This window comes from Homo sapiens, chromosome 15 (genome assembly GCF_000001405.40).
Source record: "Homo sapiens chromosome 15, GRCh38.p14 Primary Assembly".
In the NCBI taxonomy this organism is placed as follows: Eukaryota; Metazoa; Chordata; class Mammalia; order Primates; family Hominidae; genus Homo; species Homo sapiens.
This window is the reverse complement of record NC_000015.10, coordinates 88,820,706-88,840,795: the sequence shown is the minus strand read 5'-3', so window position 1 is coordinate 88,840,795 and position 20,090 is coordinate 88,820,706. Positions and strand designations below refer to the sequence as shown.

The 20,090-nt window shown below is 49.4% G+C and overlaps 1 protein-coding gene across 9 annotated transcripts in view; it reads right to left on the bottom strand.

The window, feature by feature from the left end:
* The window catches only part of ACAN (aggrecan), a 71,918-nt gene that overhangs the window by 34,558 nt on the left and 17,270 nt on the right, over positions 1 to 20,090 (bottom strand). For all 9 annotated transcript variants that reach the window (NM_001369268.1, NM_013227.4, NM_001411097.1 and 6 more), the window contains 3 exons: positions 4,520 to 4,596; positions 1,750 to 2,133; positions 610 to 784 (listed from right to left, as the gene is read on the bottom strand). In NM_001369268.1, coding sequence (NP_001356197.1) covers positions 610 to 784; positions 1,750 to 2,133; positions 4,520 to 4,589 — 629 coding nt within the window. In that variant the 5' untranslated portion in view covers positions 4,590 to 4,596. The remainder of the gene's footprint in view (positions 1 to 609; positions 785 to 1,749; positions 2,134 to 4,519; positions 4,597 to 20,090) is intronic.

Genomic DNA, 20,090 nt, shown 5'->3' with positions numbered 1-20,090 from the left:
TTTTTTTTTATGGCTATAGTTTTTGTATCCTAAGATCTGTTTTCCTACCCCGAGACTGCAAAGACATTTTCCTTCCTGAGGCTTTGTGTTTTTGGCTGTTGGAGCTATGATGCTCCTGAAATGGGTGATATCATCTTGCCTTCACAGTGCATTGAGATCCCTTGAGGGCAGGGTCTATCTGGACTGCTCTGCACCTCACTCCTCAGCAACTACGCTCAGGGAAGGATGTACCAAGGGGTTCAATTTATAACTTGCCTTATTAAAAACAAAAAGGATGGAAGTTTGTTTATAAAAATACAGAGGACACCAAAGTTTAAACGTGAGGAAATCATGGCAAAGAAAAAAATGGGTAGGAAAAATAATGACATGTAGGGCAAGGTTGCTAGCAGTCCCTCATCCCATTTGCAAGAGAGAATCACAATAACAAGGGTTTGGGATGGGTCATTGAGCTGCTGTTTGGCCAAGGTGTGACCACGGCCTCTAACCTAGGCTGGCCACAGTGTCATGCTGGCACCAGCTCAGTGCTGGCCAACGTTCCACCCAGCACCCGCCCCACTCCCCTGTGGCTGCTGACTCCTGGCCCCCACTAGCTGATGGGCTAGGGCTCACCTGACAGTCTGGTCAGCCAGCCAGCCGGCGTCACACTGGTGGAAGCCGTCTTCGTAGGCGGCCTGCAGCTGCTCAGGCGTGGCAATGATGGCACTGTTCTGCAGGCAGGCCCGCTGCGCCCTGTCAAAGTCGAGGGTGTAGCGTGTAGAGATGGCTCTGTAATGGAACACGATGCCTGCAAGACACATACACGCCCACAAGCGGAAGAGCTGGTCAGGCACAGTCTCTGATCACCGAGGCCCTCGCAGAATTATGGCAATAGTCAAAGGGACCTTAGGGAACTGGCTGGTCTGGGCTGATGCATGACTCCCTGTACACCTTTGCACGTGATCCTTCTGAATTTGCTGGAACACCCTGTAATGGGGAGCTCACTACTTTATAAGGCATTCCTTTTTAAAGACTTATGATAATACTGATAAAGAGAAAGTTCTTTGAATTAAACTAAAATCTGCCTCCTTATAATTTTTTCTTATCACTCCAAGACCCCCATATTGCATTAAGAGAAACAGACACTCAGAATGCCCTGCACCCTCAGCCCAGGGCCACCCTAGTGGAAACCTCATTTAAGGTGTGCCCAGGAGTGAACTGTCTTTGACAGAGTCTCCCACTGTACCTCCCCCTGGGAAAAATCTGGTGTTGACCAAAGTCCTGAAGCTAACCAAAGACCTGACTGTTCTCCTTGGGCCATGGAGAGAAAGAGACCAGGGAGTCTTCAGCCCTTGCTTTGGCTTCTGGAACTGAGAATAAGAGTGGAGAGGGGGAGGGAAAAGACACCAGGATGAACTGTCAGGAGACTGCTCTGACTCATTTCCAGGGTAACCTCAGGCAAGTCACTTGCCCTCAGTTTGCTTGTCTGTAAAATGGGCACGATCACAAGACCCACCGGATCACAGGATTCTTGGGAAGCACAAACTGTCAGTTACCTGTGACCACAGCCAGGAAGTATTTAATGCTCCCTAAGTCCAGAGAGAATGATATTACCAGCTCCATGTCACAGAGGAAGCAGCTGAAGTTAAGTAACTTGGCTGAGGTGCGTGGAGGAGCTGGTTTGAAGGCCAGCCTGCCTGCGCCTGCACTGCGGAGACTGCTCTGGTTCTTTATGTGGGTGAAGCAGCGTCTGTCCCTGTGGGAGGCTCTCACCTTTCACCACGACTTCCAGGGTGGCCTCGCTGTCCTCGATGCCATGCATCACCTCGCAGCGGTAGACCCCAGAGTCATTGGAGCGCAGGCTCTGGACTTCCAAGGTGGCGTCACTGGGGATGGCCGGGTAGTTGGGCAGTGAGACCTTGTCCTGATAGGCACTGTTGACCCGCACGCGCCCTTCAGTGGCCACCAGCAGCACTACCTCCTTCTCCTTGGACACACGGCTCCACTTGATTCTTGGGGCCAGTGGGGCGGTAGAAGGGGCGGTGGTCACAGGGTGCATGGGGTCGATGAAATAGCAGGGGATGGTGAGGGAGGTCCCCAGGAGGACCCTCAGCGGGGACGGTTGGGGGATGCTGACACTCAGCGAGTTGTCATGGTCTGTGTGGGAGAGGTGGGGTAGAAGAGAGACCTGTTAGTGCCTAGAGAGGACCACCCCGCCTCCCCATCCATCCTTCCAGCAATGCACTCTCCTGAGAGAGCGAAATCCGATGAGTGTGTCTGTCTCTATGATGGGGATGCTCCCGTGTCATGTGGGAATTCCCAGAAAGGCTTGCCACGCCCTTTCCAGAGCAGTGTTCCTCAAGACCCCTGGCCTCTGCATCTCGAGACAGAAACTATGGAGCTAGAAAAGGATTCCAGAGGAGGGAGGGGAGACGTCAGAGTCAGGACCAACTCCCTGTTTCTCAAACTGGGGTACTGCAGTGGGCACCAAAGCGTGGAATAAAACAGGACCCATCTCCTTGGAGTGACAGCTTAACTCAAAGATTTTGGGAAAAATTATGTTGGGGTAGAAAAGTAATCTACACAATTTTAAAGCTGAGACAGAAAACTTCTAAGATGTGTCCCATTTGGGGAGGTCTGCTTTTGGGTGCGAGCCTGATTTTGCCACCGGGACAAGTCACTCTCTTCTGCTGTTTGGGAGTCAGGGGACTCAGGTGGAGAAGCATCCGAGAAGATCAGACCTTTTGGTGTGCAAACAGTCAGATGCAGGAGAGGCGATGGGATAGGATCAGACTCCAAACATGTTAATATAATGGAGAGTGTCAATAGAGGAGGTGCAACAAGCTTACCAAATCTTGTTAGAAACAAAAGATCTGCTGGGAATGGGGAAAAAAAAAAAAGAAAAAAAACAGCTTTCCAAAAAAAAAAAAAAAGCACCTTTCATGGAGACTCATACATTTATGAAACCTGTTCTTTCATGGGGGCCTACAGGTTGAAATAAAAAATGTTTCAGATATTTGTGGGTTGTAGATACATCACAGGGCAAGGGGAGGGGAGCGAGGAATGCTTAGAGTCCAGGCCTTAACCTTCTGATGTCCTGGGCAGTCCCACTGGCCCCTTCCACAGGCATCTTCCTCCGAGTGCTGGGCCCTCGCACCCTGGACATGGCTTGGTTTTAGCAGTAGTGGTTCTCAGGGGAGAGCTGAAAGGGACTGTCGTGCCCAGCTCAGCAGTTTTTAAAGCCCCACTCAAACCTAATGAACTGGTTTCCCTGTGTGGGCGGACCACCCCTGGGTACAGCCAGGGGCTGCATGGCTGTGGGTCTCCCAGCAACAGTACAAATGAAGGCCCTTGTCCCATATGTCTACAGATGCAAAAGTTGTAAATCAGGCCAACAGATTGTTAAGTTCTATGTCCTATCTTCCTATTTGACAATGGTACCTTTCAAAATGACCTGAAAGCACAGATTTAAATTCAGAATTCTTGGATTACTTGGTGTTTTGCCTTGGGCTGTAGTGGCTGGGTGGGAGCATGGGGAGCTGGGCCGCCTTCTTTTTCCCACACTGACTGCACTGTGAGGGGGTCTCATGTGCTGCTGTGCTTATCTCAGCCCCACAGCCCTGCTCTGCCCACACCCCATACAAACAGCCACTCCTTGGCCCCTCCCTTGGGCCCAGGGTGGCTCCCACCAGGGGTATGGTGTCCCCGTAGGAGGATGGACCCATGCAGGCCCTGGATGTGGCCTGGGCCCACTTGGAGGGGAAATTCTGGGCATCCTGGGACCCCAGAATGTGCTCTAAAGGGGAAGTGCAGATTTGGGCAGACACATTGGCCCTGCTGACTCCCCTTCCTTTGGAGAGGGTTGAGGCTGGAGGATGGCCAGTGGGGGCCTCTAAAATACACAGCCAAGAGCAGAGTCCTCTCTTGTCTGGGCCTGGGGAAGACATACCTTCCCTTCTGGGGTCAAGCCCATCCTGGGGTCAGTGGAAGTTTTGCTCATTTGGTCCAATGCTGGATTAGCAGTAGACCCAGTGCCTTCCACATGCACGAGACCAGGCTGGGGCTTCCCGAGGATGGTTTGCAGAAAAGGCAAAGACCTGTCTGATTCCCTGGGGCTTTTCTCTGGCTGTCTCCCAAGTGACCTTTCTTCTTTGGTGCTCCAGCCGATCCTCCCTCAATGGTCCTTTCTCCACTGGTTTGTCTATGTCCTGCCCCTCCGGCAAGCTCAGTGCGCAGCAGTCCTCACTGAGATCCATGGAGGGAAGGAGGGCACCTGCCGGGAGCTCTCCCTGCCAGCTGTCGGGGCTTGAGGGCAGTCAGGAGCAGTGTTATCTGAGCAAGGCTCCTGCAAGAGTGTGCCCGCGCATGGGTGCTATCCCATCACAGTTATGCATGCATCAACAGGGGAAGGGTGGGGCCAGGAAAAGTCCAGGAAAGGGGAAATTATATCCCTGGGACCAGTAGCACCAGGTTCAGTACCCAGTACTCAAACCCACTACTCATGCCTACTGAATACGTGAAACATGTATAGGAATGTCCTCACCTGAAGTTTCTACAGTGACAGCTGCAGTGATGACCCTCAGAGTCACGAAAACCCAGAGTAAAGTGGTCATAGTTCACCTGGAAGAGGGGAGGCAGAGGCGTTATTTAGACAGTGAAGGCATGGTGAGGTCAAGCAGAGTCATGTGACATATGATGCAAAGTGATAATTCCACACCCAAGGACCTGGAATCATCTCCAGAGAAGGAGGCTGCACGTGGTTTGTGAGATATTTTCTTAAAAAATCCTTCCCTCACAAAACCTTCACAGGTTTCTCAGTTTAATTCCGGGCATTAGGCTAATAAACCTAACCTCCCATCTTTCAGCCAGTGAAGTCTCATCTGAATGAGTTCCTGTGATGGTTAATTGTATGAGTCAACCTGACTGGGCCGGGGCAACCAGACATTTGGCCAAGCATTGTGCTGGGTGTGTCTGTGAGGGTGTTTCTGGATGAGATTGACATTGGAATTGGTAGATTGAATAAAGCAGATGGTCCTCCCTAATGTGGGAGGGTCTAGTCCAATCAGTTGAAGACTGAATAGAGAGAAAAGACTGACCTGTCCTGAGAAAGAGAGAATTCTTTGTGCTGGATGGCCTTTGAGCTAGAACATTGCTTTTTCTTCCCTTTGGACTTGAATTGAAACATCTGCTCTTCCTAGGTCTCAAGCTTACTGACTTTCAAACTGAAACTACTCCAATCATTTCATTTAGGTCTCAAGCCTTCAAACTTGGACTAGAATTACACCACCAGGTCTCCTGGTCTAGCTTACCAACTTATCATGCAGACCTTGGGACTTGCCAGCCTCTATAATTGCATGAACCCATTCCTTATAATAATTCTCTCTCTCTCTGTCTCTCGTGTGTGTGTGTGTGTATGTGTGTGTCTGTGTGCGTATGTGTGTGTCTGTGTGCATGTGTCCTATTGGTTTGTTTCCTTGGAGAACCCTGACTAACACAGTCCTTCAGGCCCAGAGAAGTGATGAGTTGCTCAACATCCCTAATGAAACTTGGGCCTGCCACCAACTTCAAATCCAGAGATCACGTGTGTTTTAGAATGGACTAGCCTCCAAGGTTTCAGGCAAGGTTTAGGGGCCTGGTTCATGTCAGGGAAAAGATGTTCACCTAGAGAGCTCTTGAGGAGGTTATGGGATGAACGGATTAATATTTTAGGAGAGAAATTAGACCTAGGAAGCTGTAGCTCTCCTGCTAGATCAATGACTTCATGTGGATTAGAAAGACAAACCTTCCTTATCGTCATCTGCTGTAAAGCTGTCATAATAAGTACACAGGTCTGTGACAACCGCAGTGTAAAGGTGCACAATTGGAACCCTGACTCCAGCATAGGTGGACCCAAGAAGACCCAAGAGAATGTACAGGAGACCCACCAGAGCAGTGCTCTCAACCTCAGCTGCACACTGAAATCACCTGGGCTTCAGCCTGGACCTCAGGATTTTTAGAGCTTGGAAGGTTCTAAGGTGCAGCCAAGATGGAGCACCGCTGGCCTAGAACACGTGCAGTCCCATTACAGACACCTCCTGTGACCTTCCCTCCACGGTGCATGCCTGGTGATGTTCCCCGAGTTGTTCTGTTGGATGGACTTGCATCAGCACCTACCCTCCCCTTTTGGTTTAAGAAGTGCTTGCATCACAGAGGGAGGGAACCTTGGAGCGGATGGAGGATCTGGGACTAAAGAAAAGATTGGAGATTTCAGCAACTCTCGCCCGTGGCATTCCCAGACTTTTGCTCTATCAGAGTCCAGTGGCCCAGCAGGTGTCGCTCTTGGCTCAGTCACCGCCGGCTGGGGCTGGATGGATTTGGGGATGAGGGGGGCACCCCAGGAGTCCCTAGGCTCAGGAGGGGTGTTGGGAGGGCACTGGTGTTCCCATCCAGGAATGCCAGGGGCAGGGGCAGGGTGGGCCCAGGACTCCGAGTGACCCTTTCTTCCTGTTGATTGAGTGTGTCATCTTTCTACCACCTATGCTACATATACGAGTCACCCCAGAAATGAAAGGGCTGTCTGTGGGTGCTGCTGGGGGTATGGCGTGAATGCATGAGGCACGTCATCCTCACACTGGAGAAAGTCTGGAAAATCCCAAAGTTCTGAGAAGTAGCCCCTGTGTCTCCTTAGGGATTTTTCTACCTAGATGCTGCCTTTTAAAGAAAAGTCTCTGGCTGCAGGCTGTGGCACCATGAGGGGCTCTGGTTCAAGCCCCATGTGACGAGTTGCGGCTGGGAAATAGTTCCCCAGAAGGCAGAGGGCAAAGTGTCTTCTCCACTCTGGGGAGGGGTCTAGACTTTCCGGCTCCTCTCTTCCCAGAGCCTTAGGGATTCGTGTTCAGACACAAGGCCCGCCTGTTCTTCCCTCAGAACACCCTTCATTGGGAGGTTGTGTGTATGTTTTCGGAGCTGTGTTTCTTCCCTCACTCTCTGAACAAGCTGGACATTGTCCGGGGGTGTAGGAGTGCTCTGTGGGGCTTGGACGGCTTGATTTCTCTCCCTGGCCTAAACCAGGAAATGGGAAGGAATGAAAAGAGGTGGGGAGGAGAGTGGGGGTAGGGGGATAGGGGTGGAGTGGGCAGAGAAACTAATTTTATTTCTTTTTTTTTTTTAAAGACAAACTTTGGGATAGAAATATCGCAATAAATATGCTCTTGTGTTTGTGTGTGTTTTCTCAGCTGTAAAGAAAATAGGGAGAAATTCCATTCTGTCTGGCTTCCAAGTGTCTCCAGGACTCACTGAGCCTTTTATGCGAGAAGACTGACTTTGGCAGCCCTGAGTCCCAGCACGGCCCTGTCAACAGGGAGGCCTTTCTCCATGGGAAGCTGAATTAGGTGCTGACAGGGCGACAGCATAGGTGAGGCAGAGGAAGGGGACGGGGAGCCTGAAATGAAGTGGAGAGGGGAGCTTGGGGAGCAGGAAGGGGATGCTGGGTGAAGGCCGGGTGAGAGTCATGTGGTTTGGGTTCATCACCAGGGAATTGACTTTCTCAGAGAGCATTATGTGGAGATTTGGTAGGGGAAAGTGAGGTGCTTTTAGCTTGAGCTGAGGCTATGTGTCTGTGTGAGCATGCGTGCATGTGTCCAGGTTGCAGACAAGGAAACCTTCACCTCCTCATCAGCCAGACTCTACCCCATGGTTGTCTACCTGGCCAAGGTCTTGGCCTGGATTCCATCAAATTATGGGATTGAACAGGCAGCTCACCCACTCTCCCTGAATGCATCTTCCAGCAACATGTGCAGTGGAGACCCCTCCTCGACGTGGGTGGACGCCTACTGCTTAATAATCTAGGACCTGCCCCACGGCTGTTTCAAAGACTGAGTGAGATAATGTGACTGCCATCATCCCTCCTCCAGGCCGGACACTGTTTCTTTGGCTCTGCACCCAGCACAGGCTCTGGCACTCAGCAAGCATCCATCAGTGTAACTTTCCTCCCACCTCCCTGGTTGTCAGGCCTGAGTGAGCCTCTCAGAACTGGGGGATTGGAAGAGAGTTTAGTGGTTGTAGAGAGGCTTCCTGTCCCAGGATGAGGGTTGGACCAGATGACTTTCCATAAATAATAAAACTGCATTCATTTCAAACACAACATTATCATACTACCAAATATTTGGAAAATAGGACAATGGGGAAAAAAATGACCATCATCTACAATCCGAATCCTCATTATTAGTGTTTTGATAGTTTGCCTTCTAGTCATCCAGGCTGGAGTGCAGTGGCATGATCTTGGCTCACTGCAACCTCTGCCTCCCAGGTTCAAGCAATTGTCCTGCCTCAACCATCGAGTAGTTGAGACTACAGGTGTGTGCCACCATACCTGGCTAATTTTTGTATTTTTTGGTAGAGACATGGTTTCACCATGTTGGGCAGGCTGGTCTCGAACTCCTGTCCTCAAGTGATCCACCCACTTTGGCCTCCCAAAGTGCTGGGATTACAGGTGTGAGCCATGGTACCTGGCCATTCTAGTCTTTTTTTTTTTTTTTAAGGTATCTACTTGTGTTTTTCTGTAATTGCAATCTTTTTGCATGCTATTTGTCTTTTCCACATAATACAATGGACCACACAACTTCTTTTTTTTCATTCCTTCACTACTGACGATCATGATGCTTTACAATAATGACCTCCCTGGCATGAATCCTGTATATACAGCTCAGCCAGGTGGTCTTTGGCCTCTGATTGCATGTTAGGTGCTCATTCCATCACAAGGTGGCCCATTCCTTGGCTGAGCAGCTCCAATTGTACTCAAGAACTTTCAAGATTGAGTCAAAATGGCTCAGCCACATTATAATTTACATCCAAGAGTTCCACCATCAGAAGCCACCCAAAACACATCCCCTCCTCTTTCATGGGACTCATGGTGAATCTTCAGAGGTCCAATCTGCTTCCTGCCTGCTGTTCCTCCATGGAGACATTCCTGGCCCCTCCAACCAACGCTTCCTCCTGTGGCGGCCTTCTGGACCTCTCTTTACCCCCTGGAGCCACAGAAGGTCTAAGCTGTGAGAGACCTTAGTGAACATCAAGCCTAACTTCTTCATTTTACAGATGAAGAAACTGAGGCCCAAGGAGGAGGCTGAGTTGCTCAAGGCCATATGGTAGGTTGGAAGTGGAGCCCAAACCAGAACTCAGTGCCAGGGGGCCTGGCCCTCATAATTCCCAGCATTAATGAACTTCACAAGGTAGCTGCTGTGTCTGTCTTGTTCCCCACTGTCTCCCTGGCACCCAATGTAGTGTGTGGCACAAAGAGAGGAAATTGCTGAATGAATGAATGGACAAATGGCAGCCCGTACGTCTTAGAAGTGATCTCCTTCAACCCTAGGCCTTGGGGGGCGGAGGGCTGAGGATGGGACTGGAGGCTCACATGTGATGAGCACCTAGGTGGTGCCCAGCCAAATGAGGTAGACCCCTTCACATTCAGTAAGTCTCAGGTAGAGACACGCTGCTTCCTTGTGATGTGCATGGCTGTATTGATTAATGATAGCGCTTTAGTGCAGCATGTGATTTTGGGAAGGTCACAGGCCATGTGCGGCCCAGAGGAGGAACAATCAGGGTCACCCCTTCCCAGGGCTCCAAGGAGAACCAGTGTTATGCTACAGCCAATTGGCACCAGCCGGCCAGAGTCCATTTTATGCATCTCTTTCAAATTTTGTGTTCGGTGACATCACACTGGTAGTTTGAAACTGGTTATGATGGATATCAGCAGACACTATCAACGAGGTGAGACTTCTTCTTTTTCTTTTTCTTTCTTTTCCTTTTTGAGAGTGGATTTACCAGCATACTACTGGACGTAACTACAGCCATGGGCCACATAACATTTCAGTCAACAACAAACTGTACCTACGATGATGGTCCTGTAAGATTCTAATGGGGCTGACAAACGCCGATCACCTGGTGATCACCTGGTGATGCTGCAGCCGTTGTAGCGTCATAGTGCAATTACTTTATTTATTTTTACAAATTTAGTGTAGCCTAAGTGTACAGTGTCTATAAAGCCTACACCAGTGTACAATAATGCACTAGGCCTTCGCATTCACTCACCACTCAGTCACTCACCCATCCAGAGCAACTTCCAGTCCTGCAAGCTCTGTTCATGGTAAATGCCCTATAGGTGTACCATTGTTTATCTTTTATACAGGATTTTTACTGTATCTTTTATAGGTTTAGATAGGTTTAGATACACAGAGGGAAGTATTTGTGTATACACAAAGGCAAGTATTTGTGTATCTAAACCTATCTACACATACAAAAGGTACAGTAAAAATACAGTATTCAGTACAGTAACATGCTGTATGGGTGTGTCACCTAGGAGCACTAGGTTATACCATATGGCCTAGGAGTGTAGTAGGCTGTACCATCCAGGTTTGTGTAAGTACACTTTAGTGGAGGGGTCTCCACTGCACATGTTGCTGGATGACAAAATTGCCTAAGAATGCATTTCTCAGAACGCATCCCTGTTAAATGTTGCATGACTATAATAGTAAATAAAGAAACGGGCTGGGGAAGGATAATGAGCACTTTTCTTTCCTTTGAATGAAGCCTCATTCTCCATTCATTGTGCTGTCCTCCATGTGTCCCTGGGGACATTGAGGCTGGCCCTAAAACCAAGGCCAGTTTGCCAGCCCTAGGGTATGGTCAGGAAATGTTCATCTCCATGTCACCTCCCCTGGCCCAGCGTGAGTCCACATCAGTGTAGACTCAGCAAATGTTTGCTGGCTACGTGAACGCCCACCCTCCTCTCCCAGATCCTGCAGGCCTCCTCCCTGAAACCTCACCAGGCCTTGGCCCTGGGTTGTATTCCCCCCAGCTATGACTTTCTACACACTGTTTAGCACCCAATTTTTCTTCTGTTGTTTTATGTGTGCTAACTCTGTCTCATCACGCAGACTGTGACCTCCTAGAGTTTGAAAATCAAGTCTTAAATGAAAACAAAATCCCTTTATGCTAACTCACACAGTACCAGGAATAACACAAAATGGTATTTGACACCTCCTTGTTAGATGAGTAAGTAGACGTTGGGGTTTGGTAGACTGGTAGACCAGTAAGATTTGCCTGCGACCAGGTGGCTCTGTGTCCCTGACTTAAGTCCTAGAAGATGGATTCGAAAGGACCAAGGTGCCCCATTCCTGTAGTCACCAGTCACCAGCACATCACTTATTTGCAGCCTAATCTCCCAATAGCACCTTTTCTCTTGTCACTCGCTCATGAACAAGATCATCCTGATAGCTGTGCATAAACGCAGTAGCATATGCACTCGAGGCTGGGATTTCAAACCCAGCATAGGGAAAAGGCCAGGGACCCTACACCAAGAGCATATCTGGCCAGAGTCACCCCAACTGCAGCTGTTAACTTCCCACATATTCTAAACAGACGTGGTGGGATGGTATAGAAACGGGAAGCCAGGAAGCTGATTTCAGTCCCAGCTCTGTCCTAACTCACCAGGAAACTCATGTAAGGCCTCAGTTTACAGTTTTCCCTTCTGTAAATTGGGATCATCATGCAAGCATCACCCCCAGGGAAATTGTGAAGGTAATTTTTGTAGCTGCCAATACTCTTTTGATATTTCCTCCTCTTTCTCTTCTCCCCACCTTCTTCAACACCTTGTCTTTTTCCGTATCTTTGATTTCCTTTTTCCAAATTTGTTACTTGCTCTGTCATCACTGAAGCATCTTAAATCAAATTCCATGTGTTTTTCTCCATTCCGGGCAAGTGTGTAGGTCCTGTGAAACAGACAGTTGGCAGCAGGGTGGGGAGTGCTGGAGATAAACCCTTCAAGGCCATACTTTTGTCTAGGATTGGCCTTGAGCAGCTCTGTGCTAAGACAGAGGGGCCCAGTGAAGGGAAAGAAAGGTTTTTCCTTGGAGTTGCTTCTAGCCTAGTGAGTGCAGACAAACCTGTATCCAGAGATAGCAGACATGAGTGAGTCGGCTCTGGGTCCTAACCTTGGCCCTGACTAAAATGGCTGCCTGACCCGGAGCCTCGGATTTTCCATCTCTGAAATGGGGGCAGGTGGGAGAATTAACTCTGGAGTTCCCTGAGATTCCAAATGCCAGCTCCACGCAGTGCAGAGAAGAGTTCCACCTTTTTAACTTCTGGGAACAGAAGGAACTGCATCTCCACCCTCTCAGCCTCCCTCATGGCCAGGGACCTGCTCATTGCTTGCTGTTCTGCTGCAACATCCAGGGCAATGCACAAGGGTTTCGCTTGCCTATTGAGCACATTCTCTGGGAAGGTCCAGCCTATTCAGAAAGATGCCCCCATGCCCTCACTGTGCTAGGGACGAAAAGGCAGAAAGGAGAGTTGTGAGGTTGGGAGGGTGGTGCACACATCTAACAGAAGTGAGGGGAGGCTCTCTGGGGAGCAAAAAAAAAGGCTCGGGTAGTGGAGCTGCGAGAAAAGAAAATAAGAAACCGAGAAATGACACCACGGAGAGTGTCATACCTGCAGGTTATACTTGTTACCTGACTGCCGATGTGGCATGGGTCTTATCCCCTGGCAGTGCCCTATTTGAATCTGGGGCTAGGGTCTGGCCCTGTCCTTTCACTCCCTTCTTTTGCTCACACAGTTCCATTCCTTCAAAAAACACCCTCTCTTTAGCTCTATGTCTGACCTATTCCCACCTTCCTTGAGGCCCCATGCAAATGCCACCGCCTGGAAACCTCCCCCAGCCTGAAACGCTCTCCTGTCTGCCTGTGTCCTTTGTCATTTCTTGTTGTTATGACCAACTTATTAGCAGACTCATCTTGGCTTGTGGCTTCTTTCCCACTTTTGTTTCAAACTACTAGGCCAACCACTTAAGGGATGTGTGCATGGGTGGGTGCGATGGCCAGGGTGGGAGCAGGCCCTGGTGCAACAGAAAGAGCATGATTGGGAGTCAGACAGATGTGGCTGAATCGCAGCTCTGACACTTTCCTGTGAGCATATGACCTTGGCTCAATTATTTAACCTCTCGAGGCTCAATTTCCTTACCTCTAAAGTGCTGATTAGATAGGATCTATCAAATAGCATAGGACGCTGTAGGACTTAAATGAGAGATGCTGAGTTGGCCTCCTTTCTCAAGGTTTGTCTGGCTGGTTCCTCCCTCACTGAGGAGCAAGAACACCTGCATTGTGTATGCCCCTCACTGCATTTCAACTAATATGGATACACCAAGCACCTACTATGGGCACTGAGGTCAGTTTCTGCACAAAGTAGCCACCCAACTAATGGGTGCTAGCCTGATAAAAAGTGCCACTCACATGCAATTTGCATCTATATCGAATTTAAATGATGGTCCAAGTGAATGGGGCACTGAGGTCAGTTTCTGCACAAAGTAGCCACCCAACTAATGGGTGCTAGCCTGATAAGAAACACCACCCACATACAATTTGCATCTGTATCTAATTTAAATGATGCTGTAAGTGAATGGTCATTTGTTCTGCAGTGACAGCAAACAATGGGGCCCCCCACCCCACCAACTATTTTAGCCTAGGGATCATTCCTCTATTCACCCCAGGACTAGGATGTGAGTTCAAATAAAACTGTGGACTGTAAAGGAAGAGCCTAATCTGCCACTGCCGTCTCCACGGCTTGCCACAGAGCTCTTGGAGCTTCTCTGTGGTCAGGGAGGGCAGTCACCCCCTCTCTATCTTCAGGCAACAGTGGGCATTTTATAGCCAGAATCCACTTATGCCATGGCTTCAGGAACAATCTAGGGGCCATCTTTAGGAAGGGCCTGCTGTATGTCAGGAACTCCTCTCTGAGCTGTACATGTGCCGTTTCTTATCCTTAGAACAGTCTTCATAGGAAGGAAGACAATGGCTCAGAGAGGTTAGACAACGTGCCCAAAGTCACACAGATAGTGAGTGGCTGAGTTTGGTTTGGAATCCAGGTCCTGTGGCTACAATGCTATGGTTTTCTCAGCATTTACAGTCCCTTTACGCTCATTAGCTTTACTCATTAATTCCATTATTCAGTCAACAAACACATTTCAAGGGGGAGACAACATACTAGGTAACAAATATAAATCAAGGGGGATATGGGGAATGTTCTCATGGAATTTCAGATCCGGAAAGTTTTAGGGGTTGGTAGATGGGAAAATGCATCACTAATTAGTTCACGAGAGAGGGAAACCCAAATCTCTTCCAGTTCTGCCCAGGAATATGGGCAGAGTGCCTGGAATATGCGCACGGTTGGTGGGATCTTGCCAATGAGTAACACAGGGTCCATTTTGGAGGAGGGGGTTCCCAAGTGGGACTCCTGATCCACTCCTGGACCTTCCATCCACAGGGCAGGGCCCTGCTGGGGCTCTGAGTCCTGGCTTTCCCTGTGTCTCCAGGGGTCCCCTGCAAAGCTGGCTCCTACAGCCCAGCATGGTGGCTCTTCCACAGTGTCCTTCAGGCAAATTTCCCAGGGGCTCCAAAAAAAAAAAAAAAAAAAGAAAAAAAAGGCCACTATACAAATGCCCTGCTCCGTGGCAGGGCTGCAGACAGTCCTGTTAACTTCCTCCAGGGGTTTTCAGGATGAGCTTTTTCAAGAGCTCTAATCAAGTCATTTCTGATTAAATGGGCTATGTCTCAGCCAGCACCTACAAAAGCATGATCATCATCTGCTCAAAAATATCTGGATTCCTACTAGTCAACCTGTGGGTAGTCAGTAGAGCCCCCCGACGTGAGCTGAGTCTCTAACCTTTTCTAAAGTCCCATCCTACCATGAGAGACCGCGTACCTCTGGCAGTTGGAAGAGCTGACCAACTCCTGCTGCTTCCTGTGTTGCTGATCACAGAGGGACAGGGAGAGGGGTGTTTTGAAGCCTCTTCGAAACTTCAGCTTCAGAAATCAGCCCACGGAGCTGTTTCTGCCACTGCCAGTCCGAGGCCAACCTCACTGTCCTGACCAGGAGCCAGGCGGATGCTAGTCAAACAATAAAAACAGAGCTGGCCTTGGTTTGCCGAAGGCCTGTGTGAGCTTTTAGGTGAAGGTTCTGCCTGCTTCTGGAGGTGGGGGTGGGCACAGTAGGAAGTGGAAGGAGCAGGCTGGGGTTTAGGACGTGTAGTACAGAAATACTTGAAAAGATGACATCAATCTCTCCCCTCTCTGGCCTCTCTGTCGTGATTCCCTTCACTCACTGATCTATGTCCCTGCTAGTAATACCTCTTTGACTTGGACCTGTTGGGACAAGAGATACGCTGTTCTTCATCCTCTCTCTGAGGTCCACTTTGGACCCAGTCTCTATGCAGTTTCCTGAATAGCCTCTTCTCAAGCCTCTTGGGAGATAACATGGTACACTAGAAGGTGGGTATCTTAAGAACACAACCTGAATTCATACCTTTGACTCATAATGTACTATCTAGGTGAATCTGGGGAAGTTTCTTGGCACCTTTGGCCAGAATTTTCATAGGTGAGGCCTCTGGAAATTACTTATTTCCAGTTAGGAGAAGAGATACAGAGTGATGATTCCTTGTGGCAACTTACTTGGAACTTCCTCTTATTCCTTCCAAGTCACCCACCAGAAGTCCTCGTGTTCCCTGGGTAGTCTGATCCTGCTGGAGGGGGTGGGAGCAAAAGGGAGCTTGGCCTATGGACTTCATGGCAGAAAAGGATGAATGTTCTTGGAGAAAAATCCAGCTCCTTCCCAGGGCCTGTGAGGCCCCATGTGATCCGCTCCTGCTCCTGCTCAGATCACTATTCCCCAAACCCTCAACCCCGCCACATTCTAGCTGTGCCTTGACCACACGAGCTGATTTTGTCCTAAGGGTTTTGTGCTTGCTCTTTCTTCTTCCAGCACACACTTCTGGATCTTTCCCTCGCTGGCCATTGTCATTCTAGCCTGTTTAAATGTCCCTTCCTTGACCACCCTGCTCCCCTATCCCTCCCTCCCTATCATGTTACCCTGTTAAAGTCTATTTATAGCTTTTTTTTTTTTGACAGAGTCTCGCTCTGTCAGCCAGTCTAGAGTGCAGTGGTGCTGAAGGCCTGTCAGATCTTGGCTCACTGCAACCTCCACCTCCCGGGCTCAAGCAATTCTCCTGCGTCAGCCTCCCAAGTAGCTGGGATTACAGGTGTGTGCCACCATGTCTGGCTAATTTTTGTATTTTTAGTAGAGATGGGGTTTCACCATGCTGGCCAGGCTGTTCTTGAACTCCTGACCTCAGGTAATCCGCTTGACTTGGCTTCCCAAAATGCTGGGATTATAGGCATGAGCCACCACACCTGGCCGATAGCATCATTATTATTTGAAATTATTGTCCTTTTTTGTTTGTTCACTGTCTGTTTCAGCTACTTGAATATACACCCCATGAGGGCAGGGAGTTTTTTTGGTTTTTCTCACTGCTGTATTTCCGGTGCCTAGAACAGTGCTTGGCACATAGTAGGTGCTCAACAAGTATTTGTTGAATGAATGAATTCTCTTAATCACTAGGCAATGTCCCTTTGTATTAGGTTTGGAAGTAGAAGGAGTGTTAATCTTTTTGTTGTTGTTGTTGTTTTTTTTTTTGAGACGGAGTCTCGCTCTGTCACCCGGGAGTGCAGTGGCGCAATCTTGGCTTACTGCAAGCTCCGCCTCCTGGGTTCACGCCATTCTCCTGCCTCAGCCTCCTGAGTAGCTGGGACTACAGGTGCCCGCCACCACGCCTGGCTAATTTTTTGTATTTTTAGTAGAGACGGGGTTTCACTGTGTTAGCCAGGATGGTCTTGATCTCCTGATCTCGTGGTCTGCCTGCCTCGGCCTCCCAAAGTGTTGGGATTACAGGCGTGAGCCACTGCGCCCGGCCAGGACTGTTAATCTTAAGACCGATCATAACTGTTGAGTGTCACCTGATCTCACAGTCTTCCTGCCTCAGCCTTAGAACACATAAGAAGCCCCAGGAGGGAGGGTAGCTCTGAGTAGAGCTGTCAGGGGTAGCCGGGAGTGCACACACGGCCCATGGAAATATCCATTCTCACTCCTTTTCTGCTAAAAGAGGTGCAAGAGTGGAGAAGGATGGGCCTGGGCCACCAAGCAGGGAGTAGTAGGTGACCCCAGAGACATCTAGGGACAAAAACAGAACTCAGAGCTGAGCTGTGTGCTGAATGAAGGCTGCATCTCCAAGAGGCTGGGAGTGATGCTGAGTCCAGGTACCGGAAAGGAAGGCCAGTGGTGCTTCCTAAGGATGGGGTGGCTGCAGCCGTGGATGGCCCCAAAGCATGTGCCTGTAGAAGGGTGGGCACGTGAAGGATGAATTTGGCTGAACACCATCAGCCTTTTCCCACGATTCTTACCCCTCCCCACTCTCAATTGCAAATTCCCAGGAAAACCAGTTTAAAGTGGAGAAGCACTGGGCATGATTAATCCTCCTGCTTCACTCATCCAGGGACACTCAGCTTTGCCCTGTTCTGTGAGAAAAAACAAGAAAAAAAAAAACCACCAAAAAACCAAAACTAGTACCAGGGACCAGCCCCTTCCTGTTCTCAGCCTTCTGCTCCAGTCCAAGCACTTGGAAGTTTTCTCTGCATTAATTTCAGACTTTGTGTAAATATCAGACCTGAGTTTTTGGAAAGGAGTATACTTCAGCCCAAAGTTTCCAGCAGGCGCAAGTACCTTTCCTGGGCAGGGATCTTGGGCCAAGAGCTAAATTCCCTTTACTTGGCGCTGACTGCCAACCCTGCAGGACAGAGAGATCTTTCCTCTATGAGAAGGGGCTGGGAGACCCAGTGTGATGCTTCAGTAGCCTCCCTGTGTGGAAATTGAGCCCAGGTTTAATAAGTGACCTCCAGTAAATGTGTCTGGCAGCTGAGGGTCCTGATGGAAATGCCTGCTTGCCAGAAAGGGCCATCAGATGTGTGGAGTTATAGCTGAATTTCTGGACAAAGCAAGGGCCAGGTGCCTGGGATGTGGCTGTAGGGAAACAAGGGGTGACTAGTCCAATCCTTTCAGTTTTGGGGACAGATGCTCGGGTTCTTGGAGTTTAGTCCTTGGATCTAGTCAAAGGTAAGAAAGGAGATGGGTTATCTGTAGTCCAACCTCATTATTTGGACCCTAATTGCAACCCCTGATTCCAGGGTCTGGGAAGGACCTCACCTCATAGAACACATGTAGTTAGCGGCCAGGCGTGGTGGCTCACGCCTGTAATCCCAGCACTTTGGGAGGCTGAGGCGGGCAGATCACCTGAGGTCAGGAGTTCGAGACTAGCCTCAACATGGAGAAACCCCGTCTCTACTAAAAATACAAAAAATTAGCCAGGCATGGTGGCTGAGGCAGGAGAATTGCTTGAACCTGGGAGGCGGAGGTTGCAGTGAGCCAAGATCACGCCATTGCACTCCAGCCTGGGCAACAAGAGCGAAACTCCATCTCAAAAAAAAAAAAAACATGTAGTTAGCTCCTTGGATCATGGTTCTCTTTGAGAGCTGATGGAAGCTATGGACACAGTTCTTAGGAAATAGTGTTCACGCTCCTGGGATTTTCTGTATGATTTCAGGGCATTCACAGAGCAGTCCTTCTGTGCAGCAAAGGATTAACTTTGCCCGAAGAAAGGTTGGGCCCTTGACCCTGGCTGCCAGGAGGCAACCTCTAAGCCCTTGGAATGTCCTGTCTAATAAGAATCTGTTTATGTGGGAGGCTTGGGCCATGCTGGATGGCCTAGGCTAATGGTGTGATGTACGGTGGGGACCTTGGGGCACGAGGTATCAACCTGACCTCTGGAGGGACTGGAGACTAAGGTCAGCCATGTCTATATGACCACACCGCAGTATAACCCCTGAATACCAAGGCTCAGGTGAGCTTCCCTGGTTAGCAAGACTCTGTGGATGTTGCACATATTATTTCTGGGAGAAGGCAATGCTGTCTGCATGACTCCTCTAGAAGAGGACAACTGGAAGCTCATGCCTGGTCTCTCCTGGCCCCTGCCCTTTGTGCCTCTTCCCTTTGCTGATTTTCATCTGTATCCTTTTGCTGTAATAAACCGTAACTGTGAGTGTAACAGTTTTGCTGAGTTCTGTGAGCCCTTCTAGCAAATTACTGAACCAGAGGGTGGACTTGGACACCTCCCACCCTGATCCATGAGGTCAGTACATCCTGGCCAGGATGGTTCAGTGTTGGCTGAGTGGACAGTGAACAAGACCTCTTCATCCCATGGGCATCCTTCAGTGACACTGCTTTCCCTCCTTGGGACAGCCTTCTTTCTGGACCTCACATGGCAGGAATAATTGCCTTTCATCCAGAAAAGTTCCAAGCACTTCTTGCCTTTCCTCCTCTTTCCTTTCCTCTGTCAAACACTCACCATATGGAAGACTCTGTAGCAGGTGCTGACAGGGAACTATAGATGGACCAGCTGTGAATCTACCCCCAGGGGCTCACTGTGTGAGGCAGGGATGCAATGGGGGAATAAATCCTACAATATTGGGAGGCCAAAGCCAGAGGATTGCTTGAGCCCAGGAGTTTGAGACCAGCCTGGACAACATAGGGAGATCATCCCCGACAACTTAGGGAGACCACCCCTCATCCCCCAACCCTTCCCCCTGTCTCTACAACACTAACCAGCCATGGTGGTATGCAACTGTGGTTCCAGCTACTCGGGAGGCTGAGGTAGGAGGATCGCATGAGCCTGGGAGGTCAAGGCTGCAGTGAACCCTGGTTGTGCCACTGATATAGTTTGGCTGTGTCTCCACCCAAATCTCATTTTCAGTTGTAGTTCCCATAATTCCCATATATCATGGGAGGGACCCAGTGGGAGGTAATCGAATCATGGGAGTGATTACCCTCATGTTGTTCTCTTGATAGTGATGAGTTCTCATGAAGTCTGATAGTTTTATAAGGGGCTTTTCCCCCTTTGCTCAGCACTTCTCCTTCCTGCCATCATGTGAAGAAGGATGTGTTTGCTTCCCCTTCCACCATGATTGTATGCTTCCTGAGGCCTTCCCAGCTGTGCTAAACTGTGAGTCATTTAAACCTCTTTCCTTTATAAATTACCCAGTCTTGGGTATGTGTTTATTAGCAGCGTGAGAATGGACTAATGCAACCACTTCACCCCAGCCTGGGCAATGGAGAAAGACCTTATCTCAAAAAAAATTCCTACAATACAAGGAGAGCCCTTCTCAATGAGGGGCAGAGAGAGCGGGCTCTGGGAGTTGAGA